This window comes from Homo sapiens, chromosome 11 (genome assembly GCF_000001405.40).
Source record: "Homo sapiens chromosome 11, GRCh38.p14 Primary Assembly".
NCBI lineage: Eukaryota > Metazoa > Chordata > Mammalia > Primates > Hominidae > Homo > Homo sapiens.
In genome coordinates, this window is record NC_000011.10 from 130,891,190 (window position 1) to 130,917,119 (window position 25,930).

General features: G+C 43.7%; 1 protein-coding gene across 17 annotated transcripts in view, besides 2 other annotated features; it reads right to left on the minus strand.

Annotated features, from left to right (window-relative positions):
• SNX19 (sorting nexin 19) overlaps positions 1 to 25,290 on the minus strand; it is a 50,230-nt gene extending 24,940 nt beyond the window's left edge. For 3 of the 17 annotated variants that reach the window (NM_001347919.2, NM_014758.3, XM_047426940.1), the window contains exons 1-8: positions 23,077 to 25,290; positions 20,444 to 20,582; positions 19,081 to 19,181; positions 18,829 to 18,948; positions 16,764 to 16,894; positions 15,436 to 15,532; positions 14,764 to 14,944; positions 12,066 to 12,195 (exon numbers count right to left, since the gene is read on the minus strand). In NM_001347919.2, coding sequence (NP_001334848.2) covers positions 12,066 to 12,195; positions 14,764 to 14,944; positions 15,436 to 15,532; positions 16,764 to 16,894; positions 18,829 to 18,948; positions 19,081 to 19,181; positions 20,444 to 20,582; positions 23,077 to 24,750 — 2,573 coding nt within the window. In that variant the 5' untranslated portion in view covers positions 24,751 to 25,290. Of the gene's footprint in view, positions 10,657 to 12,065; positions 12,196 to 14,467; positions 14,660 to 14,763; positions 14,945 to 15,435; positions 15,533 to 16,763; positions 16,895 to 17,171; positions 17,257 to 18,828; positions 18,949 to 19,080; positions 19,182 to 20,261; positions 20,583 to 23,076 lie in introns of those variants that run through there. The other 14 variants (NM_001347926.2, NM_001301089.2, NR_144939.2 and 11 more) reach the window with 13 other exon arrangements.
• Positions 25,033 to 25,082: an enhancer, noted in NCBI's record as "active region_5756". NCBI's record gives its function as "activates an Ori minimal core promoter by ATAC-STARR-seq in GM12878 lymphoblastoid cells {active_cell/tissue: GM12878}" and the evidence as "EXISTENCE:reporter gene assay evidence [ECO:0000049][PMID:35858748]".
• Positions 25,203 to 25,482: a silencer, noted in NCBI's record as "silent region_4082". NCBI's record gives its function as "represses an Ori minimal core promoter by ATAC-STARR-seq in GM12878 lymphoblastoid cells {active_cell/tissue: GM12878}" and the evidence as "EXISTENCE:reporter gene assay evidence [ECO:0000049][PMID:35858748]".

The window sequence follows — 25,930 nt, forward strand, 5'->3', positions numbered from 1 at the left end:
CTGACAGATTTACTTTCCTAATAATCTTTTGTTTAGGCTAATAATAAAATGAAACTGTGGGCTAATACACCAGCGATAGAGCTGATGTTGTAACGGGTATGCTAGGTAATAAGTCAGGTGGTCTAGAACTAAGAATAATCCATGAAATGGGCATTCACACCTGGCTATGCATTCCTCTGGAAGGGAAGAGAGCTGGAAGGCAAGGGAGTGGGTCAGCCATGCTCCTTATCTCACACTATAAATCCTGGAGGAGAGAGACAGCTGCCAGTAGCTTATGTTTGGTCAATTTTCCTGGGAAATAGGCCCAGAGGATAGAAGAGATTGAAAGTCAAACAAAAAGCAAAGGGGGGTTATGAGGACTATGAGTCACACTTGTATTTTGGGAAGTGCCTCTGACGGATGGAGCAGCATTGAATTGATTCCAACCCATTATTTGAAACTAGTAAGAAGAAAAGAAGAGAGGAAGGTAGCAGAATGGGGGAGGAAAGACCAAAAGCAAAGGTCAGGTTACCTTTCTAACAAATGTAGAAAGAGAAAAAGACACTTGGGGTCTGTGTATTTTTAGGATAAATAAGACTGATTGTAAAGGGAAAGCTCTAACAATTTCTATATTTGAGTATTGTGACATGTTTAAGATTTCATTCTGAAAGTTTTTTCTTTTTTTTTTTTTTGAGACAGTCTCATTCTGTCGCCCAGGCTGGAGTGCAGTGGTGCAATCTCGGCTCACTGAAACCTCCACCTCCTGGGTTCAAGTGATTCTCTTGCCTCAGCCTCCCGAGTACCTGGGACTAAGGGCATGCGCCACGATGCCCGGCAAATTTTTTTTGTATTTTCAGTAAAGACGGGGTTTCACCATGTTGATCAGGCTGGTCTGAAACTCCTGACCTCAAATGATCCACCCACCTTGGCCTCCCAAAGTGCTGGGATTACAGGCATGAGCCACTGCGCCCGGCCAATCTGAAAGTTTTCTATGCACAAATCTAGTGTGCCTCTGAAGTCTTTCAAGTCAACCTTTTTTTGGCCCCATACTATGTTGCTACCGACATACTATAATCCAGTTCTGAGAAAATCAGGACTGACAGACTTTAAAAATGACACTGAAAAGCGACAGACAGGTTTGAACCTGGCTTAACCACATAAAAGTTGAACAAACTCTCTGAGCTCTGGCTTCCTTCATTATAAAATGGGCAAATTCTTGCCTTGCCTTTTTCACAAAGTTATCATCAAGATGAAATAAGAAAAATAAAAAGTATTTCTAAAAGTGCTTGTGTGTTTGCACATGTAAAAGAGAAAAAGACTACTTCAGACCTTCTGTAAAAATTCAACCAGGTTCAGCGAACTAATGATGGCAGGATCTGGAGTAAGCTTTGCATTTCATGCCTCAGTTTTCTCACTTGTAAAGCTTACTCTTCCTGGCAGGCTCAGGGAAGTAAATACTGAAACCAGTAAAGCATTTGGTACTGAGCAGTTAAGAAAATTGGGACGAGGCCTCAGGGGGTTTTGGATAATATGAAAACTCTATTTCCGAATCCTTCCTAAAACCAGACCTCCATGTACCAACCAATAAAACTTTCACTGCAGAGACTATAGGATCCAAATGTCTCTGTCTCTTCTTTCCTTGTCCCCGTGTGAACAGCAAGCCTGGCTCATTCTCAGTCCCCAGGTAGTTATCCTGAGCCTGCCTTTCTCAGCAGCAAGGGCAAGGGCAGAGAGGTGGGGTGGGGAAGGGGGAAGGTAATTAAAATGGCCACCCATTCAGAAGAAAATTGAGTCCGTGGAGGGGAAAGGGCAGGGAGAGGGAGCAAAACCCTTAGTGCTGAAGCACCAGGAAGAAAGGCAAGACACAAAAGAGGGAAGAAGGCAGTAATTTAGTGGTTGTCTTGACGACCAGAGTCCCTATTGTTCATGGGGGCTTTACCTCACAGGGAGATCTCCCTGTTCTGCTCTGCACATAGAACTCCCACCACAGGAAAGGAGGATGGGAAGGGAAGGGTTGCAGGAGGCAGAAGTGATAAGTAATTATGTGCTCGCAGAAGGGGCTGACCTCCAAATTTCTGCAAATATTACGGATAACAGATTTAGAGTGTGCTCAGCCATGATTTGGAAGAAAATTATTAGGGATTTATTTAAATCAGCAGACATGGGAGGACTTCAAATTATGCTGTGAAAATGGCTACAGGAGGCTGGAAAAGACCAGCCTTGAGGAGAATAAAGAATACATATATGAGAAGCAGATGCCCAAGATAAACAAAGAGAAAAAACACTGAGAGGGGTGTAGAGGAGAAGGAAAAGTGACTATCATTAACACCATCACCTTGGTGTAGAAGAGCTACCCAAAAGTATTTCCAGTTCCCTGTCTACAGGCTGAAATGTAAAACCTTTCCAAGTAGAAGGCCATCTATCCCGTTATGAAGGACGTAGGGACACCGAAGTGGCAACTCCAGAATCTCCACAGAATAGGAACTTTGGGAGCACTGACTATGGGTAGAAAACACAGAGGAGTAATAAATAAAACTGGAAAAACAACAAAAAGGAAACCTGGGGGAGAGAGGAGGCAGGTGTTGAGGAACTTACCTTGATGCTGCATTTGCACACCAGCCTCCCTCCCAGGAAGGCTGAATCCTCTCCGAGAAATCTTTCGGGGCCAGCATTATATTAGAGCTAAAGTATATTTCCCACCAATTTACCCAACTCCCTCCCTGCTCCAGTACCAAATAGCTCTACTTCTCCAAAGGGCACTTGGAGAAGCCTGCAAGGACAGAGGTAAAGATCAAAAGTAAGCAATAACATATGGTTGCTTCTCCAAAACCAAGTTAATGGGGGAGAGCCAAACGGTCTCCATCCATGGCCGAAAGCAATAGGGAATGTCCTTGATTATGTAACAGGTTGATAAGATTCCTAACATCGGGGCTATTCAGCACTGACAATCTCCATCTTAGTGAATACATAATGTATAAGATTTTAGGATCACAGGAGACCCTGAATATAGGTCCAAGTAGTTTATACAGAATATTAACAAAATTCTTGCAATTCAGATGTCTAGCTGGTCTCATCACCACAGACTCTGTTCTGCTCACTCTGTTCTGAATGAATCAGCTCCAGCACTGAATTTTTAACGGGTGGGATCCACTCAAAGGGGCAACTTCTGGTCATCCACACCACTCAGAGAAGCAAGCATATGCTGAAGACGCATTAGAGCAGAAGGAAGAAGGGTGAAAGATCAAAGAAACAGGGCTTATCTAAAAGTCACTGGCACTAAGGAGTAGGCAGATAAGTGGCCTCTAAACCGTAGAGCAAGCCAGGGAATGGCTTCAATATACTGTATCAACATCACGGCAGGGGACCTATAACTGCAAAACAAACAGGTCTTCCTCAAAGGACAGTGAATGGTATTGTTTAACCTGCAGCGCCACCTGGTGCCCATAGAGAGAATTCCTGTGCCCACGCCATGCAGCAGCAGTTTGGTAGGCTTTTTGTCACCTATTTGAAACAATAAAAGCAACACACATTCAGAAAGAAGCTGGCTAAAAATATTCCAGGTTGCTTTTTATTTGAAAGTAGAATGCCCCTCCTCCTGTTTTAAAAATGTCTTAGTGTCTAGAATATTATTTAGCCTAAACCAGTCTAAATGACACCTATCTCACAAGATCTAGCTGTTATACCTTCCTCTATAAAGCCTCTCTAACATTTACCTCTAAATTATCTCTTATCCCCCCAAAGAACTTCATGCACTAGGCTATGATTTCTATTTCGACAGTAACAGACAAAGGAAGTTAAGTGGTTTGTTCTAAGTCACATAGCCTCAAAGCAAGATCTGATTTCAGATCTGACTTCAAAGTCCAAGTTCTTGCTTTCCATGTGGAAGGAAAGAGGTGGAGAAAGTACAACAGCAGGAGATGCTTCCAGAGAGGGCAGGCTCGGTGGGGCTTCATACTGGGAGGCCCAGGTTGTGGAGGGGCGCTGCACTCTTTGGAAAGGAGAGAGCCATTAGAATGGGAGATGGCCTGAAGGGCCCCCAAACCTCTTTGCTTAGGCCGTACCATGGCTCTGGGAATCAGAATTCCCCAATTAACTGAAGATCTGGGTATGCCCTGTGTGGAGGGAATGAAAGACTCAGTTTCCATTTTGCTTCTGGTCCCCCAGCACTGTTGAGGAAACCCTAAGATTCTTAATAGTGATAAGCAGAGGGACTGCCTCCAGTAGAATGACGTGTGATCTTCTGTGTTCATTTATTTGACACAAATTTACTAGGTGCCTTCTATGCATGGGGCTGGGTGTTGAAGATATAATGGTAAATAAGACGCAGTCCCTGCCCTCAGGATGCTGACATACATTCTAAAGCTGTCATCAAAATGTCAAAATCTTAGGTTCCTGTTTGCAGTCACAGATGGGCAAGAGATGCCAAGAACCTGACTTGGAAAAAAAGGCTCTGAGGTTTAAATACCTCATGATATTCTGTTTTTTGTTAACTTTTACAATGAGCAATTTTGTACCTCTATTTGAGTATATGAGACTTCAAGAGCACACACACACAGAAATGCAAATGCAATGCTCAGGCACACGGCTGTCAGCTGCCATCCACCTGCTACAATCTCAAAGATATATTCCAGTAGAGACTGTCACTATGTGACAGGAAAGCCATGATGTCTTCATCCTAAGATGGGTGTAGAATAAGTGATACCCAAGAAATATGACAGGCAGACCACTCATATGACAGGGGAAACTGCTAGGGCCCATCCTGGCCCAGTCTATAGAAGTCAAGAGCTTCCCTTTGGCATGGCCTAATGGAAGAGGCCTGGGACAAGCAGTACTCCTTCCCAGGGAGCCACAGTACAATCTGAGCAAAGCCATCAATGAGAAAAATTAATTTCAGCACCTCTAAAAACAGCCCAAGCCAATGACTGGAGAGCCAGAAAATAAGCGAGAATTCTGAAGACTGAGCTTGAGTTAATTTTGTATGTGGGGGTCTTGCAAAAGTATGCGTATTTCTAGAAAAGCTGTGCATAGGAAGAGATGGGGTATAAGACATAGCCAGGCATCAGAGCTGAACTGGAAGAAAAAGTTACACAGCAAAGGAAAAAACTGTAATCTATGCTTCCTGAGAAACTCTGAGTCTTAACGTTGATAATCTTTTCCTGATTGTGAATAGCATATAAATAGAGATAGCTAAGAGACAATCTCTGGCTCAGAAGTGCTTTAAAAATAAAATCAGAATATGCAGACAAAAATAATTTATATGCTACCATCAGATGCGTGTGTCCCTGAGACCAGCTGGATGGAAAGCAAGAGAGGCTAGATGGGAATACGGCAAGGGAACTTTCAGGTGAACCCAGTTCTAGTGGCCACTGCTTTGTGGGAAAGCTTGCATGGAGGGGAAGCATGGCAGAGCAGTGGGAAACACATGAGCTCTGAGGCCAGGATGACTTAAGTGGAATCTTAAGGTGTGGTTGTTACGACTTTTATGATTTTGGGAACGTTATTTTATCTGAATGTAATTTTCTTCACTTATGAAATGTAGAACTACATGTCTATCTCATAGAATTGAACATTAATATAAACAGTACATAGCTGCTTTCCTGGTATTAATATTGTAATAAGCGTCAGTTCCTTTCCCATTGCAATTACTCGTGCACTTTTGGTGGCAGACCTGGAGGTTCTCTTAAGAAATAACCAATGTCACAAAGAACTGTTATCCACCTGCTAGTTAGACATGCCCACCAAGAAAGAGGCCCTTGAAGTAGAGTTCCACAGAAAGCGCCTTGATTCTGGAGCGTTCTAAGAGAACAGTGGAAGCAAGAGGGTTCATGGTCAACCTTTCCCAACTGTCCTTAGGGGAGGTGGACGTTGCGCCTTGCAGCACAGCACTCTCCAGTGCTCCCAGACTCTGCCGCAGCTCTCCTGACCTTTCCTAGGAGATGGTTTAGAGAGAGACATCTTCTCTAAGAAAGTGATTCCAAGGTCTGGTGTAAGGTCTAGAGCTTGCCATCAAGTTTCTCCTGGGTGCCCTGCTTGTTGGACTCCTTAAACCTGCACACCCTTTCTTTTCTTCTTCCTCTCTGGATACTTCCTAACTTTACACACTTCACGCTCCCCTCTGCCAGAACCTTTCCCCCTGGCTTTCTGCCAAGCCATTCCATTCCCACATGCCCCCAACACTCACACACACACACTCTGTCTCTATCTTACACACACACACACAGACACACACACACACACTCCCTTTTTAACTGAGAAATCCTGACGCAGATGCCAGGAATGTGTCTGCTGCCCTTTTGACACAGGTCTGATGCCATCGTTGGGGCCATGGGGAGGGCAGCGCCGCGGACGTGGCATTCACGCATTCTGCTGCTGGCATGGTTCCTATTTTTATCGTGGCATTGCTCTGGGTGTCCAGGCAGGGCGCCGGTCCAGCTTCTCATTCCTTCACTTTCCATCAGGACTCCACACCAATCCTACCCCTTACCTTGGCTGGATCTTCCTGCCCCAAACCCCCTACCATCAATGCAGCACAGTGTATCTCTCCTCTTTCCCTCCAACCCAGTCTAACTCTGAGTACTTGCCCAGTTTGCTAAATCTGATTCTGATGTTTGCAGAGATATTTTCAAGTTTCTTCTGTTTTCGGGCATGAGCAGAGTTTGCACAAGCCGGATTTGCTCCTTGGCTCAGAGTGCTACCCGCTCTCCCCTTCCCCTCCCTTTGTCTCTCATTCCAAATAAGGAGTGCTTCTTGTTACATAATTGGATGTTCCCAGCACAGAAGCTGACACATGAGGTTAGGCGCACATGCATGCAAGACTTCCCTTTGACTTAACAATGCCTTTTTTGGGCATCTAACTTCTCTTCAGCTCCCCTCCCACTTCTCTCCACATCATCAACAATCAACGGAGATTTATAAGCCTGGCTCAGATCAGAGCTCTTCCAACTTTGGCTTAGAAGGAGGGGTTATGAGGTCGAACTTACTCTGTTTTTTTTTTTTCCTTTGCAGGATAGAGAGTGTGCTTATAATTTGACAGAAGTCTATGGCGTCCAAGGCAGTAATGTACACAGGTCTTTTAAAGTTGCAAGATGGGTATACAAAGTTGGAAGCAGAGGAATAAACTTGCCTGCTTGGGGATAATAATACTGGAGGTTGGAACATGAGGACATTTTAAGGAGGAGATGCACTCAAATCTGGTGACTACAGCATCCCTGATGGTCAAACTGCAGTGAGTTCTAAATAACTAGAGAAGTGGCAGTACCACGTGTGGCACCAACACCAACTATCCTGCTCTTTTAAGCACGGAACTTAAAGGAAGAGAACCCAAGTACCCTGCAAAAGCATATGGCTCAGCTACCCGTGGTTTCAGGGAGGACAAACATGTAGCCTCCTAGGCAGCAGTCATGGGGATGGGAGGCAACGGGACCTCATATCATGCCTCTTGTGGGAGATGCAGGGGGTACAGTGGAGAGGTGCTGCAGCTCTGGAGATGTCAAGTTTCCAGCATATTGGCTTACCAAAGCAAATAAAGCTGAAGCATGCAGCAATGCATACACCACTTTTTAAAATTAAAACCTGCAACTGTCCCAGGGATAGTAACATGGGCTGTCTTTAGACTGCAGCACTGCCCTTAGGTTAGCTGCAAGTGTGTAGATACGGAGATGCAGTTTGGATTCTACAAACTGCCTGATAATCTCCAGTACTTGGAGACAGAGATTTTTGGGTTGGCTTTTATCCTGCTGAATTGCAGGGCAAAGATCTGATCCTGAAATTTAGACAATCATCACAGCTATAAATCAGAAAAACCTGGGTTCAAATTCTGCTTGTGATATTTATTAACCCTGTGATTTTGACTAGATAACCCACATTCTTTGTAAACCTTAGTTTCCTTGTCTTTAAAATGAGGGTCATAGTACCGCTTTCGCAGGACTTGGAGGAATTAAATGGTATTAAGTTGGTGCAAAAGTAACTGTGGCTTTTGAACAGCATGTGCATACAGTGTTCAGTACAGTATTTGCACTAAGTCAACTCTCGATAAACATTTGCTGGACAGCAAATGTGCTGATGCTGACGAGATTATCAACGTTTACACTCTGAATGCTAAAATGTGTTAGCTCCATGTCTATAATGCACAGGGTGCTTCCAGGTATGAGACCATGGGCCACCAGTGCCAGATCTTTGGAAGCTCTAGTGGAAGAACCGGTTCTTTCTTTAGATATCATGACTTCTAGCTTCCTATCTTAAGGAGGCTTCAGGAAAACTGTGAAACCAGCTATAAGGTACTTCAGAAGAGGGCCAAAAATGTCATTAAAAAGATGGGAAAAATGATTTGTAGGGATACATGAATGGCCTCAAACAGAGAAGTATGAGATTCTTCATTTAATTCTAGTCTGTGGAAGCTTGGGTGAGGAGACTGCTAACCAGATGTGGTCCTATTTTCATTGCAGCTAATACAAAACCAAATGGGCTAAGGATAAAGTTGTATTCTTAGATATAAGAACTTGTTGACAGGAAGGGATATGAGGTAACTGAACATGTATAAAACATCTTCACCTGGAAATATGTACAATGAACCAAAGATAACAGGCCATAGTTACAACAAGTTTTTCAAAAGTAACTAGCCGCAAAATGCTGTTCTTGCCCAATATTCACAGTGGCTTCATTCAAATTCACCAAATATATTCAGAGTTTTCCCACTTTTCCCATCACAATAGTGATGCTTTTCCATAAAACAGAATAAGACAAAACCAAAAAACAAAAAGTCAGAATGTGAAAAGAGGAGAAAGTCTAGGGAAATTCAGCTGTAAGCCCTCTCCCTCATTTCCTTTATGGCATGAGCTACATTTGGGTTTTGCTAGTCTGCATTCACCAGACTTTACCCAGCTCACTGGAGTTGTGGTTGTAGTTGGGGAGTGTCAGGGACAGGAATGGAAAGGTGAGGAACTTGCCTGGGCAACATAGTGAGACCCCATCTCAACCAAAAAATTTAAAAAATTAGCCAAGCACGGTGGTGTGTGCCTGTAGTCCTAGCTACCTGGGAGGCTGAGGTGGGAGGATGGCTTGAGCCCAGGAGGTTACAGTGAGCTATGATTGCAGTGCCACTGCACTCCAGCCTGGGCGACAGAATGAAATCCCATCTCACTGATATTTCATATATTGACATTTTATCCTCAATATATGAAAAATGAAAAAGAAAGAAGTCTCACAGCCTCTGCTCTGAACTCTAAAATGAGCCCTGTCTTTTCCATGTCTGCCACGCAGCTGGAGCTTGCTTCGCTCGTATTTAACTTTTCTGCCTTAGATCTCCCAGGGCCCCGGCCACATGAAAAAGTACTTCTGTGATCATTCTCTAACTCCCAGAATATAGGTATTTCTCCTTTATCTGGACTAGCCCAAACCCTTGAGCACTCTGAGTTATTCAAACTTCAGGTCAACTTTTTCCTACCCCTTTTATATAAGGATCTCAATCTTTTTTGAATTTCTCCTAACTCATCTATACTTTTATCCTCATACTGAATAATTTCTCGTGTTCTGAAACCAATCTGTCATGTAAATGACCTCAAGGAGAAGGGGTCATATTAGATCACACACTAGCTAGTTTTGGGATCTTCTCATTTTGTTTTTTTAAACCACTTAGAAGATTAGCAAAGGGAAGTCCAAAAAAAGAAGAAGAGAAATGAAGGCCTAATTAGTGACATCCAGAGGTGACAGAATAAAACTAAAGAGACTATACTTTCAAGTGTAAAGGTACTGGGAAGGGAAATGTTTATTTCTTTATTCAATATTTAATGAGTACCTACTATGTCCAGGCCCTGTATAAGCTGCTGGGGAGACAAAGCTAGTTCCGGTCCTTAAAGAACTAATAGTCTACACAGCATTTCTCAAGCTTGGTAACACTGATATTTTGGGCAGGATAATTCACGTTGTTTGGCATGGTGGACTGTCCTGTGTAGCTGCAGGATGTTTAGCAGCATCCTTGGCCTACATCCACTAGATGCCAGTAGGCATCCCACATCTCCTTCCCAGTTGTGACAACAAAAAATATCTCCAGATAATGGCAAGTGTCCCCTGGGGGACAAAAGTGTACCCCAGTTGACAACCACTAGTGTAGGAAAAGCAGATCATTTATATAAACACACTGTGACAAGTATTATTATCAAAACTTTGCAAGTTAGAGAAGAGGACTCCTTAATTCTCGGGGAAAGAGAGCAGATGCTACAGAAGGTTTCACAGAATAAATGACATTTTATGCTTAATATATGAAAAATGTTTTGCAGTAGGCCAAGCAGACAAGAAGAGGAAAAGTTAGGAACACATGGAAGGAACAGGGAAATAACAGGTAGAGAAAGACCATTCGAAGGCAGATACAGGAAGATGAGCAAAGGCCTGGGGGTAAAAGACCACAGAATATTCAGGCAATGATGGACGTTTACACGGTGGAAAATGAAAAATAAGACTGAAACCAGATCATGCCAAGTAAGAAAGGAGGTGGAATTTTAATATAAAGAAATAAATGCATATTTTAAACAGAGTGGAGCCCCTTTTCAAACAAAGCGTTACCTAGAGCCCCAGTATATTAAACTGATCAAAGTGTAACTTCTGTGGTTGGGTCATGGTCCACTCAGTTTTCCCTGAGCTTCTAAGTTGGCTTCAGAAGCACTTCTGCAGAACCCTAGAACTCTAGGAAACATAATGGAAAAACCACTTTTGTAGGTAATAGGATACTACTGAAAGATTTTAAGTGCAGAATATATGTTCAGATTTGTTTTTCAGAAAAAGGCACTCTAGTGGCAGGGCTGAATACTGAGTAGGAACAAGGGGAAAAGCTTAAAGGGACAAAGACCAGTCAGCATTTTATATGTAGGTTTCACTTGGACATCAGTCTTAAGGCTACAAGATACATGAAAAAAGCACATTGGCTTTGAAGTTGTACAAATCTGGTTTAAAATTCTAAGTGTGCTACTAATGACGACCTTGGGCATGTTAGTTGACTTTGCCAAGCTCTATTTTCTCATTCTGTAAAATGGGGCTACCTACCTCACTTGACCACTATAAAAAAGTACATGTAAATGGAGATTGGGCGCTGGCATAGATAAGCGCTTAGCAAATATAGATGTGCATCATCTTCTTTCACTTGGTCTCTTTATGATTCAATTTTATTAAACCTCCTTGATCCTACATAACTTAGAAAAGGGAGATTTAATTGCTTGCTGTTAATAACTTTTCGACTTGGTAAAGAATAGATACATAATTCTTTTTTATAAGGATGTATTTTTTGAGTGACCTGTTAGCATGAGCCTCATGCTAAGAGAAGGTCAGCATTTGGCTTCCTCTTACTTTGGGATGTGCCAGGACGTCTCATAAGAGGGAGTTCAAAACAAGAGTAGCCAAAACCCAAGCACTACGTGTGTCTGCCTGGCTCAGAGAGAGTGTTTCTGGCCTACTTCAGGTTAACAAAGCTTACATCAGTTCCATAGTTAGAAAGTCAGCAGCTAAAAACTCCACCTGTGTACAAATCTTTCAGGAGATCAAATGGTGTGAGGATTACAAAGACTGGATTAGAAAAGCCAACTTGCAAATCCAAATTTCCCTCTATTCTTTACCATCCTGTGTCAGTAAGTATTTCAGCTGTGAATATTTATGCCCCTCTCAGAGAAAACAATCTTTATTTCAAGAGCACTGATCTGTTTTCTCCTTTTCTTTCCCACTGTTTATCATCACAGTGATGACATAATGTCAGTTGAGACAAATGTCCACCATAACCAAGTGAGAGGTGCAGGGCTGGAGGATATAACTGGGTGGAAAATTGAGAGGAGGAAGAGTTCAGCTAAGTATTTTAGGATCACACACAGTGTCTGCAACTCAGTACATTATGCCAGAAGTCTTACAGTCTTACTTTCAAATTGTAGACAACAAGGTAGTCAATAAAAGCTTTCTGATACTCTCAAGGCATTTTTCATCCCTGTAACCCCTGTAACAGAGAATCTATCTTCTCTTACGGCTGCAGATTCCCTGGACACTATTCAGCATCACATCCACCTTCTCTGCAACTTGAGATTCTGATGTGAGGGAGAATTCAGCAGTCTTACCTTTGAACTAGGGTCCCAAAGATAAGACGAAGAAACTTTTGCATGTTTTCGGTACATAGCCATTTCCACTGTTCTGTTAGTAGCAAGAGGAGCAGATCCAGGGCTGTGTCAGCTAACTCTGTCTCTGTTCCTGAGGGATAAAATGGCATCAGGAGTAACTCAGAAGAGACCCATACTTGAGGAACATCTTTCAAGGTACTGGTGGCACCTGTGTCTCTCTACCTTCATGCCAATCATCTGGTATTTTTGCAATCCCTCTACACTCAAATCAAAAGAGGTTTAACTCATATCTAGAAGGTTCAGTGACAGGCTCAGCATTTCTTTACAATTTTTATTAATGTTCCTGATATTGTAACCTAATAAATGTTTCTATGTTTTTAAAAGATATATATCTTCTAATTATATATATATCTGCTAAATATATATATGTGTGTATATATACATATATATATATATACACATACACACACACACACACACACACACACACACACACGCACTTATTTTGCCTACTTAGTTTCTATTTCTTCTGTATTTCCCCAGGATGCTGAATACTTTCTGTTCCAAAGAAAATCACAACTAGTGACTAAGTGTAACTGGCAAGGCCTCCTCTCTTTCCAACCTTGCATTCCACTCGCCCCCACAAAGCATTATGGAAACACCGTGGCAGAAGTGGGGAAAGAGTTGGCATTCACTTTCCTGAAAAACCTCCATTACACAGAGCTGTGGGGTTAGGATTCAGGAGGCTTCAGTCTGATTTTGAGATAACATGTGGTTCTAGGAAGAACACCACACCTCTGGTAAAATGCCATAACAATTACTACGTTCTTTCCTGTTTCAAAGACTGTAAGGGCCACAAATGAGCTTATACCCATGCTAAACTAAGGTTTCCTGAACAAATGTATTTTGTGGAAGGAAGCACGTGCTGTTTAAACCTGTCCTGGGGTTCCAATGTCACGTCTGATTTGCCTCCAAGTATGTGATGTTACAGAATGGATCTGAGATATCTGGTGCCACTGCTGTGATTAATATTATAAGTAATATCAACAATGACTTTGTTAGTGTAGGACAAACGGATACTCTCTGGATCACCTTGCCCAAGCTCTCCTTGAACATGAATGACTTCCGATTTGGACAGATCTACTAGAACTGAATCATACTTCCCTCTTAACCCTATATAATACATATTTTCTTTTCTGTTTGTATTGCAAGGATTGGGAGCTGATATGTTGTGTGATTTCTAATCATCTTCTCAAAGATGGAATATTGCATTCCTTGGGAGACAGCATCATCCTGAGCCTTAGTCCTCAATTGTATGATTCTCTCAGGTTTAGCATTTGCTTGGAGCTGCCACCATGTGGTAACAATTAGTTACAGCAGTGAAAAATAAGAAAGCAAACAAGGTACCACCAAGTCAGTTGCCTTAAAGAAAATGGTAGATTTTTTTTTGTTTTTTATAATCATATGAGCATTTTGAGTCTCTCAGAGATAGAAGAAGGGTTTCAGGCCTAAACCATCCCTCTAGAGATATGATGTTCAACATGTACAGGCTGGACTTTGCCTAGAATGATATTCTTACCACACTGACCCTGCCCCCCACCATCTTTACAGTCTCTTAGAGTTCTCTGATGCTTTCACTGTCATATCACTTCATTTAGTTAACTGTGAGATGTGTGAAGGGATGGGGCTGTCAACCCCATTTTTCACAGACTTAAATTGAGGCCCTCAGAAGAGATGTCAGGTGATTTGTTCATGGGCACCTCAGAAAGAATAGTGAAATCAGCTTTTTCCCCAGTTTTGAATCCAAGATTTTGTGATCTTTTATTCTCAACAGAGGGCTTTATCTTGATGGAACTGATATACTTATTTTAAGTTCTTGTTCAGTAACCATACTGATTAATATCTAGGGCTTTGAATTTTTCTTCTACAGAGTACACATCTGCTCTTCTTCTCCTGGAAGGCAAAATTGCTCTGCCTCCAATGCATATAAGGAGAAAGTAAAGCTTTCACCTCTTCTCCCTCCCTACTTTATGTTGGGTAACTAGGTGGTATCATCTGCCATGGCAGTAAATAAAGATAAAAAGAATAGATCTGGGGAAAAAAGACAATTTCCATCTTGAACACGTTACATTTCAGTTGCCCTGTGGTATATCCAAGTGAAGATATACAATATTCAATGTTTAAGGCATCACCACACACATGTTAGAGCTGAAGCCAACACTACAGCTGGAGTCACCCTGGAAGAGTGTGTAGAATAAGGACAGCGAGCCAAAAATCAAGCTCTGGCAGGTGGATCATGGAGCCAACAGAGTGGACTAAGAAGCCACGAAAAAGGCATGAAGGAAACCAGGAAACTGAGACACTAAGGGAAGAAAGTTTCTAAGAAATGCAAGAGTCTGATATGCCAAAGCATGCCAAAAATAAGTTTAATGAGTTATCAATATTATCAGCATGATCTCATCCTGCTGGATTAGAACTTCCTGTGTTTGTGCCCTGTTCTGCTGCTTGATTCCGCTGTGGCAACTATGTACTACTCATCTCTGTGCCCCAACACAGCACCTCCAACACTGGAGTTCAACACATGGCATGCTCAGCTGAATGGAACAGAAATCAAAGTTACAAACTCCAACTACCCCAAGTACCAAGTGGATGCCACCCTGGCTCCCTTCTCCATGGGAGCAGAGACCTCGCCACTCACCTGGATCGCTGTTGCTGGGGTCTTGGGCTGGCACGGCTGCATCTGACACGCAACTGTCCACACGTCCTTTGGGAGGTTGTTCAGGATCTTTTTCTGGGGCTTTTGTTGGCTGCATTTCCAGTAACTTTGTCTGTTTTTCAATAAAAGATTCCATCGCAGACATGGATAGAGTCTCAGACTCCTAAGAAATAGTCAGTGGCATATCACATATGGAATGCTGACAGTAGGGGAGCAAATGCAGCACTCTAGGTTTCCCTGCCTCTCCCCTGCATAAGTACCTTGGGTATAAAACCCAACTGATGCTATGACTCCTTTAGGAAAGATTTTATTTTTTACCGAAGTTGCAAGTAAAACAGGCCTGCCCTGGGATTATCATTTCTGCACCCATTTTTGGTCATCCATTTTTTTTTCCAGGAACTAGCTTTCTTTCTTATCTTGTCATCCATTATCCGAAACCCACCATGGTTGAGAAGCCAACCTGCCAACCCAGAACTGGTAGGAATTCCAAACCACTTAGAGAAAATACTTTTAGCATAAAAGCTGGAGATCCAAACGTTGATTAAGTCATTTAGCAGGACATTTCTGACTTCAGAGAATATCTCAACTACCTGTAACTGCAGGACCAACATCTCAGATATTTTTGCCTCACATTCTCTGGGTTTTGGTTCTTACCACATTGCCTTCCTGGAGACAATAAAGAATCTTGTCTTGTGCTTCAGTCACACTTAGTGCTGGAGAAATTTTACTGGATGAGAACCTCAGCCTAGACCTGGTACAGAAACAAAGAGCAGAAACAGGTTGTAATTTATGGCCTTGAGCCTCACACTAAGGGCTGGCAAGTACTGATAATAAAACACAACAAGAATATCCATACTTATTCTGGGGAGCTTACTGTGGTCAGAGCTGCCAGGAAAGACTCGGCCCTGCAATCCCCCAAACAATGTATATTCTGGCAATTCTTGATAGATAATGTTAACGCATACACTAAGCTATGTCTACAGTGCACTTGTGAAATGGTTTCTGCTAAGTAAAACTGGCATCAGTGTGTATTATGGTTATATTCCCACAGGATAGATTAGCTAACACATAATAGGCACTCATTAAAAATTTGCTGAAGATTAAACAGACAGGTGGCATAGAGCAAGTTTTCATTATTGCTATTCATGGTGTATCCTTTTTGGACATCCATTTTTTCCCCTTGTGTTCCAAATAAAACCAGAAAAGGAACTGCAAGTGATAACATCAATGTTTCAAGGGACAGAGACTCATAAGCAGAGGTATCATGGTCATCCCTCAATATATGGGCCCAGTTAAGAAAAGGTTAGGTACTGTGAGTCTGTTATTGCTGGCCCATGAAACATAAGCACAGAGACAGAGACACACACACATACACACATGCTCTCTCTTTTTTCATAAGGACCCAGATATAGATGAAATTTCCAGTAAGGGTACATGTGGTGCCCTTGCTTGCCACATGTTGGCTTTGAATGCTGCCAGGGAACAGCTAGGGCCCTAGTGCAGGAAAGAGTAGCAGTAGTCAACCAGTTACTAAAATAGGCCCTGCAGGTTTCCATTCTAACCCTTTCCTCTTTATTGCTAATATATGCAACTTCTGAGCCAAGATTTCCAGAAATGATGGCAAACAGAGATCAGTTATAAGCCTTAATTCTTAGTAGGAAAGAAACATCTCAATTTTCCAGGAAAAGAGGAAAGAGAATATCCTAGTCAAAAGAGAATATTCTTCCTAGTCAAACATCCCTGGTCAGTTGGGCCCCAGGTTCCCATGGCAAAACCAAACATTCAGCAGTGCTGCCTCTGCAGCACCGCAGGCTCCTCCGGGTGGAAAACTGAGGAGCCTGGGGTCTAGCTTTGCCTAAAAACTGGTATGTCTGACCCACCTCCTTTCCTCTAGGGCTTGAGAATAGGGTGAGTGTTGGCTGAGGATTGGGGATCAATTTGAGAACTGGGGAAAGGTCCCTGGGTAACTGAGGGCTTCTCACTTGCTAGCCTTCTTGCCTTCTGTCTGGGGCTTGCTTTCGGTCTCGGCCTCACTCAGCTCCTCTGTGGGGCTCTGGGGTTCAGAGCGAGGAAACGCTGTCTTCAAGGTGTCCACAATGGCACTCACCACCATCTGCAGGGGTCAGAGGTGCAGGGTCAGTCCATCCACATCCACAGATGGAAACCGCCAAGCAAGCAGTCGCCTCACAGCACTTTATGCAACAGGACAAGGAGAGGGGCCAGGCTATCTAGCAAAGCCTTATCCAGTAGGAAGGTCGAATACCAGCTAATGACTTAGTGCCAACTATCTTTCCTTTTTTCCATGGCCATAAAAATCTTTTTCCTTGAGGAGTAAAACAAACAACGCCATGGGAAAAGAAGCCAAAACCAATAGTGAGAGAAATAAAAACCTGAGTTCTGCGGGCTGGTGATGTATTTTTCAATTTCTTTCTTTTTAAGTAAAAAGGTGATTTCTAGTTTCCAAATCGGTAACACCTTCATCAAGATGTGCATCAGTGGAAGTACATAGGTAGGAGTATAAAGAGAAAGGAAAAGTGAAGAAGATGATCAAAAATAAAAATAACAGTTAAGGGGCATAGTAATATTAACATGCTTAGAGTAACTTACACAGAGCAAACAATCAGTTTTTCTAGTCAATTCAAACAATTTCTCTTCTTTAGGTACAGAAAGAATAACAAAGATCACTCAGGTCAAAACTAAGATATCTGGAGTTGAGTTGTTATAACTTATCTACTCATACAAGACCAAATAAAATAATCCTCACTAAAGATTAACTCCATTTCTTCAGAATGGCAAAATGACATACAGATATTTGCTAAAAAGGACAATGTACAAACAAAACCTTAAACTATCAAAGAAACAGAACGAAACATTTACTCTTCCTCTGGTGCTTCTTGCTAACTAACACTGCTGGCTCAGAGCAGCACCATGCCTTCTTTGACTCATTCTTGTGGTATTCCTCCATAAGGAGTAAGCTAGCATAGCCAAGACAAGGCTGAAGAGAGTGGTCAGCAGACTACAGTAAAGACTGGGGGAGAACAAACCAGGGAAAGAACACTTGAGGATGCATGCATTTAGATAATGCAGCTTAGAAAATACAACTTGTTCTCCAGGATCACAGAACTGTAGTCTGTGAGGGTGGGGAGGTCCTCATCTGTCTCATTCACTGATGTATGAACAGCAGCTGGTAGAGTGTCTGGCTGAAAACAGGCATCCAGTAAGTAGATGTGGAAATAATGGATGAATGATATCTGCATGGAACTCTGGGCATTTACCCAGTTGATCCCTTTTTAGTTTGTAGTTTTTTCCATAGCAGTGGATATCCCCTAACACCTACTACATGAAATTCTATTTTATTTGTTGCTCCAAGCCTAGATGAGAAGAGGGAGGCTACTCTTCCGCCAATGTGTCAGTGTTTCCCAACCCTATAAAACACACATCACTTTTGATAAACATAAGCCTCAGACTTCTGCCCCAGAGATGCTCATATCAGTTGGTAATCACTGCTTACAAGCTCTGACATGTTACACAAATGTCCTTCTTCCACCATCTCCATAGGTGCTGAGATAACCTCTTGAAAAAGATACAATTCTCTCCATACTCTGTTCTCTAGCGGAGAACCATGACACCACTCTAAATCCAGCCTCAGGTCGTCTTAGGCTCTCTTTCCTGGGTGACCCAACACTGGAAATGAACTTTACCCTCTGAAAGACCACCCCTCATGCCAGCTATCTGTGAAGACACAGATCAATCTTCACATGCCTCCAACAGTACAACAATATAATGATACCCCCAGGAGATATGTGTACACTTAAGAGTGTTGGGGTACTGTTTCCCAGCAGCTGTTTCCTGTGATTCAGCAAGCTGATGATTCAACCAATATTTGGCAACAGGTCTTGACAATTTAAGTCCATGTTCTATTGACGGCTCTGTGCTGCCCCTTCCCACACCCTACTGCTCTTATTTTTCAAGGACTGCCTCCATTCTGATGAATCCTCCCCATTTATAGATCAAAACTAAAGCTGAGCACAGTGGCCCTGCTGGTACCTTGTCTATTCTAGAGACCATAAATGGTTTCTTGACAAAGGCAATACGAGCATCTGTGTTCAGAGCAAGGAACTCCTGCACCTCCTCACTGTTAGCGATCTCCGGAATGGCACAGAGTTGCTGCAAAAGTAAAACACACACACATTTTAAAGAGAAATTCCAGTCCCCAAATCTCTCCACCTTGGCTTGGGTGTTCTGGGGTTAGACACCCAGGTTAAAGTGAGAACAAGGCCAAAAGAGAAGGATGCTGACCTTTAGGAATGATTCTAGGAGGCTCTTACGGGCTTCTACTCTGTCACTGTCCATGTTTCCCAATGGAAGATCTGGAAAGAGCTTTTTAGGACCCTTCACATCTTCCAAAAAAAAAAAAAATCAAAATATTCACTCATTTAACATTCACAGAGAGCTATTCCATATAAAACATATAAAGAAAACAGAACTATTGAATATATTTCCTTGGATTAAAAAAAACAATTTCAGGACTTCCAAATATACATACGATCCATATGATCCATATAACACTAAATTGTTACAAGAGAGGGCTCTGAAGTCCAGAGACCCAAGTTTAAATCTGGGCTCAATCCCTACTATAATGATGATCTTAGGCCATTTGTGTTATCTTTCTGACTCTGTTTCTCTTCTACAAGATGAGGATAATGAGGGCACCTATCTCACAGGCTGACGGGAGCATTAAAAGAGCTAATACGTGTAAAGTGCTTAGGAGAGAACCTGGCGCATATTTTCAAGCTTGGCTCAGTATTAGCTATTGTGTTAAGAAAGAAAATACATAATTTATGCCCAAACTTATTCAACTATTTGGGTAATCATTTTTAAAAAACAAAGTAACCAGTTACTAATCCTTAAGAGTGAAATTTTATTACATTAAAAAATATTTGGCTGGGCGTAGTAGCTCACATCTGTAATCCCAGCACTTTAGGAGGCCGAGGTGGGTAGATTGCTTGAGGTCAGGAGTTCAAGACCAGCCTGACCAACATGGTGAAACCCCATCTCTACTAAAAATACAAAAATTAGCCAGGCGTGGTGGCGGGCGCCTGTAATCCTAGCTACTCTGGAGGCTGAGGCAGGAGAATCGCCTGAACCTGGGAGGCGGAGGTTGCAGTGAGCCGAGATTGCACCATTGCACTCCAGCATGGGGGACAGAGCGAGACTCCATGTCAAAAAAAAAAAAAAAAGGTTCCCCATGCCTGAGAGTTGTCATAACAGCACACAAAAGATCTGGGTGTTAAGGAAAGAAGGTGGCAACAACTTCTGTGTAATATTTTAATATTTAAGAACCACCAATCTATGAATCTGGAAAAGTTAATTTAACTCCTCACACCAACTTACAGGCACAGGTGGAAATGTGAACACTTATTTTTTAATCTTAAACTAGATGGGGCTCCAGAACAAAGCAGTTGGCAGTAAAGGACTACCTCTGAAAGAATGTGATTGCTGCTGTCCAGCACTAAACTTCAAAACTCCTGAAGCAAATCCAGGGAGCAGAGAACCTTGAAACGGCATTCTCCTCCCCGATCCCTCCCATAAACCAACAGGCCAATCAGCGTGGCTCGACGTGGGAAGCAAGCGGGCAGTAGGGGTTGGGGAAACTCCTGACTTTTGATGAACTTTCGTAGATCTGGTTTCTCCTCCAGACGGGTCTGCAGATTCAAGAACTCCCGATAGCGACGATTCACAGTGTGGTAGGCCAGCTGCTGCAGGCCGCTGCTGTTTTCACCGTCAAGGGCTGTCTCGTACTGTTCAACGAACAAATTGATTGACTCAATCAGCCGGGTTTCAGCAATCTTCTATTCTGGCTTTACTGACTACTTGGTCAATGGCCACATAGCAAGAGTACGAAACTAAGAACAAAGGGAGGGAGTATGTTCCTATTCTGTTCCAGAACCTCCTATATCTAATTGCTTAGAAAGTCAGAAATGAGTTTCACTCCTCCGCACTACTACTTTCATCTGAAAGCTCCCTCTCCCAGATACTTTCTTGACTTATAAAAATGGCTACATAACTGTTTTTCAAATGAATATTTGAATAGAAGGCATAACATCCATAAAAATGATACTGCCTCTATCACCTTTAAATTACAGGGCTAAACATCATAAGGGGCAAACCATTTTTCCATTATACTCTCCCGTGATTATTTATATTAGTTAAGGGAAGAAGAAGTAATCCAAACAGCAGATATAAATCATTTGTTTATCTGGAATAAATTAAAGGGTATTTGTTTTGTTTCACGCAGATTAATTTTCCTAATTGTTATTCTTAGAGCTAAACTGAATTTTTCCTAAGTACGTATCATCTGTATCACAGAAGTCACATGAAAATTGGAGATGTGATAAGGGGTCAAAGTCCACTGTCTTCCTAAGCTTAGAGGGCTGGTATGTGGAAAAGACGACTTATATCTCATGTTCCCCAAAGAGTGAATACCACGGATGGCATGGAATCTGCAACTCAGCATGGGGGCACACTTCTTGACAGGGTAGTTAAGACACAATGAAACGCTGTGGGAGAAGTATATATGTGCGCCTTCTCATTAGGAATGGGCTATTATTTTTCGGTTGAGGTATACTGTGGGCAAGAGGTGGAAAAAACTACCTCCTCGTTGGTGGGAGTTGTGGCTGGTGCTTTACAATTTTCTGGAGACAGGGTATTCATTATGAGCTGATGTGAGCAAAGCAGTCCCTCAGAACAGCACTGAGAAGGAAAGACCAAGTAAGAGCAACAGGTGGCATTCAGGGTGGGGCTCTCAAGCCTGGAGCATTTGGAACTATGAGGCTTTCTGTGGAATATGCTGCTCCTCGAGGGCCAATTTTCAACACCGTTATGGTTACTTCCATCACATAAACCGAAAACTATTTACTATCAGAAAGTATAATAATATTGATATACAATTTAAAATCAGTTATATGTCCATATAAAAATCTAAACCCAATTTCAAACTACTCATAATTGGCTATATTATTTCGTTCTCATTTTTTACTTTACTCTTTTCTAATGCTTAATTGAAGCAGTAGCAGATGTCAAAATCTAGCCAACAACAAAAAAGAACAAATAATGGGAGAAAGACTGGGAACTTAAACATTCTATCCATCAACTTAATTTTTCTGCTAATGAGGAGGGAAAAAACCTGCTGTTTTATGTCAGTATTGGAATAGTCATTAAAAAAAGATGAAATAACCAGAAGCCAACACTTAAATGTGAGAAAGGTGCATGGCATAGGGGCATCCAGAATTAGAACAAAAAGGCAGGAAAATGTTAACAAAGTTATACCAGTCCTTTGAGGCTAGTCTCAGTTATTTTATGACCAGACATCTGTACTTCTACAATTTGCCTATAATGAGTGTGTGTCTGTGTGTTCACCCATATGCATTTCTAATTACTTCCATTCCGTCTTACTTGAAAATGTCATAATGTTACTTTCTAAAATGCTATGTCATGATGCAGCTGTGTTGAGCAGATCAAGGAAGGTCTTTTCCCTCTTAGTTGGATTGGGAGTTCGGAGGAGTGTAGCAAGCAGGCTGTCCCTGGTGGTAGCTTGTGGACTCAAATGAGAGAAATTCAAGTGTGGAAGGCAAGTAAAATCCAATGGGTAGGATCTTGTCCAAGAATTTTCTTTCTCAACTTCTTCCCTGCTGATTTCTTTTTCAAAATACTGGTACATTTTGTACTTTGTTTTAGGAAGGTAGGTTATTTACCTATGTCTATCTCAGAAGATAGCAAGTTTTTGACTCTTGGAGGTGTGTAAGCAGACTTGGGAACAACTTGACAAGAGATAACATGAAGAGGGTTGGTTGGATTAGAGAGGCAATTCCCCAAGATGGCCTTAGGACAGGCTGACTCTATGTTATCTGGAGAGTTCTATTTGAAAATAAATAAAATACAGAATCCAGGGACCCCCTCCTTAGAAATTCTCATACAGAATCCAACAGAGTCTGTCAGAATCTGTATATCTGAAAGGCAGCTCAAGTGATTTTGAGGTGCAGCCAAGTTTGGGAACCACTGAAAATATAACCCTCAGCATTCTAGCAGCCCTGAGGTTCCAGGATTGCTTGTGTGAGTACAGGATAAACGCTACTCTGCCTTACATATTAGCTTCAGACCATTCACAGAGATAGATGCCTATTGAAAGAACCACTTCAAACTAACAGCATCTCTCCCCCAAGAACATTTGCTTCATGACTGCTTTCCAAACCCACTCCTAGCCCGGGTGAGCACCCACAGCTTTAATCCTGTTACCTTCACAGTATAGAGTGTGTATGGGTGGAATCCAGTGCCACTGTGCTCTCGGGCTGTAATGGTGCCAGTGATACGAAGGTTCTGGATGATAACTGGACCATCGGGACTGCTTAGGGGCTCAAAGCTGAAGGTGGCTGAGCTGAGAGGACCAGGTGGAGAGGAGGAAAGCAGAACTGGTGGCAGAGTAGGATCAAGGGAGCTCACATCATTGGTGAGATCCTTCTCTAAGCATGACGGCCGTGAGGGGCAGGTCTTTTCTGGCCCCTCCAGCAAAGCTGTAACAGAGGCGGTAACATCTCCTTGTTCTATCTCCTTGTCTGCTGTGTCAATATGGATCTCTGGGCAGGAATTCAGTGTGGAGACCGGCAGGCCTGTCTCTGTTTCTGTCCCTGGACCCTCCTCAGCCTCTGCTCCTTCAGATGCCTCACCATCTTTGGGTTCCAGAGCCTGGGAACTCTCTAGGGCACACAGGGCATCCTGAATCCTGTCAGAGAGAAAGCTGCCTGGAGTCATGAGCATGATGGTTTCTTTGCCCAGTTCAGACAGCGGAGACTCCAGCTCTGAGTCTTCACATAAGAACAGGGGACCTCGAACATTTGGCTGTAGGAAATGAGATGAGTTGTTTCCTACTTTTCTTTCTTCACACATCCCACCCAAATCTCCCTCTACAGCTTCGTGGCCTTCTTCAACCTCTGGAGAGGGGCCTGCAGAACCCTCTGGCTCACTGTAACTTAGGAATACTGGGGCTGCTACTGGAGAAGCTCTCCCTTCTGGAAGCTGCTCTACCTCAGCAATCAGTGGCAGAGATGTCGGCACTGAGGGCTGTTCGGGGGCACTGGCTGGGCAGGGTGCTGGATCTCTGGCCTTGGAAAAGATACCCACGAGTACAAGGTGGATCCAGTCAGGATCTGACAGCCTGCTGATCAGTGGTAAGATTACATTGCATGTGATGAGTTCGACCACTACATGGCGTCCGGTACGAGTCTCCAAGTGGGGCTTGGGCACCAGCCCTTGAAGCAACAAATTCACAACGCCACGCGTATAGGTGACTTCAGCACTGGGGCTGTGCACAGCAGGATGTGGGGCAGTCGCCCGGCAGTAAGCCTCCCAGAGGTGGGAAGGCTCAACTGGACCATTCTTCCCTGCAGTGGCCTCCTTTGCCTGAATGTAGCTCTGCAGGTGACAACCGCAGAGAGTCAGAACACTCTGGGCAACAGCATGACTGTCCATCACGCTCATCCTTCTCCGAAGCTCCTGGACCAACCCTTTCATGGCTGCCTCCATTTCTTCCTCAAAGGCTGGCTCCTGGCTCACGGAACGGTACCAAGATAACACAAAATCTCGAATAATCATCTGGATGGTGCGGTTGATCTCCCGTTCCAGCTGCCTTTCTGCCTCAGGGCATGGAGGACAGGTGGCCAACGGGATGAAGCGTTCCAGATGCAGTCGACCTGAAGCCACTCCAGCGAGGCTGGAGCCCAGCCATCCTCCCAGCACCACTAGCAATGCCGACAGAAGGCACAGCAGCCACACGTTGACCAGAAGGTGTATGACCAGGAGCCAGCCAAGCAAGACCCCCACAGCCATCAGCTTCCGGCTACTCAACAGGTTATTGAGGTGACAGCTCGATCCAGCTGGAGTTTCCTGGAACGGTGGCACTGTTTCTGTCTTCATGGCTGAACGGACAAGGTGGCTTCCCCAGATGACAGCCCTCAAGATTTTACTTCAGAGTTAGGGAAGGGGGGCATGAACTGTGTCTCAGATATGGGGCGATCTGGGTGCTGTTCAGGGAACCGGGGCTCCAGGCCCTCAAAGTCCTACAGGCACTGCAAAGCGACAGCTGCAGCTCCGCGTCTCCCCATGGCTACCACTAACAGAGCCCTCCAACTCGCCCCTTCCAGCTGAGGTGTGGCTTTGGAGGAAAACTCTGTGGCCTTCACACTGCCCCAGGCGGAAGGCCTCTTCGGGGCCTCGGGGCGGGCGCTGCAAGGCCCTGGGGCCCACGGACACTTACACACGCAGCGGGCAGCGGCCGGCGAAGACTGGGTCACACGCCGCCGGGAACCGCGCGCCCACACTCAGCCCCGACCTGAAGTGGACTCATCGCGGTCCTCTCCGGGAGCCTCGGCCCTCTGCCGCCGTAAACCTGGGCGACTGCGCTCCGCAGCCGGGCCTGTGTGAAGGCTGACCGCCGGCCGGCCGCCGGCGACAGCTTCCGGGTCGACGTCGACGGGAGCGAGGCATGCTGGGAGAGCGTCCGCGCGCGCCCCGAGGAGCGGCGCTGCCCGGCGCCCTCTGCTGGCGAGGAGCCGCCCTGACGGCCCTGCGCGAGGTAGTCTCTGAGCCTGAGCGTGAGCCTGAGCGCGCACGGGGCGCGTGCTCGCCAAGAGCTGGCGCAGATTTCCGAAGTGCCACGAAACAGCCGCCGCAGCAATCACCGCTAAGACCCAGACTTCCAGGCGCTTTAAAACGCGTCCTAGTTCTGGTTATTAAATGAAGCCTGTCCTTTACTGCTTAGGCACGCTGTCAATAATCCGGTTTATTTTAATTTCATGGAGGCGAAGTTTCATTGGCCTGATGTGTCTTAACATTTATCCGGTTTCCCCTAGAGCCGGTACCCCGCGTCCCCAGCACAAAGACCCTCATTTGTTGTCAGGAATTGCAGAATATAAGGCATGAAACGATACAGAGATAGATTTATGTTGTACATTTCATATACTGTATCACAAAATCAAATTTGTGATTGAGGGTTATTTGCTGGTGGCATTACACAAACAATCAAATATTTTGAGCATCTGCTGTCTTCAATGTGAGAGGCAGCGTGGACGAATAGAAGCAGACCTTGTCCTCCAGG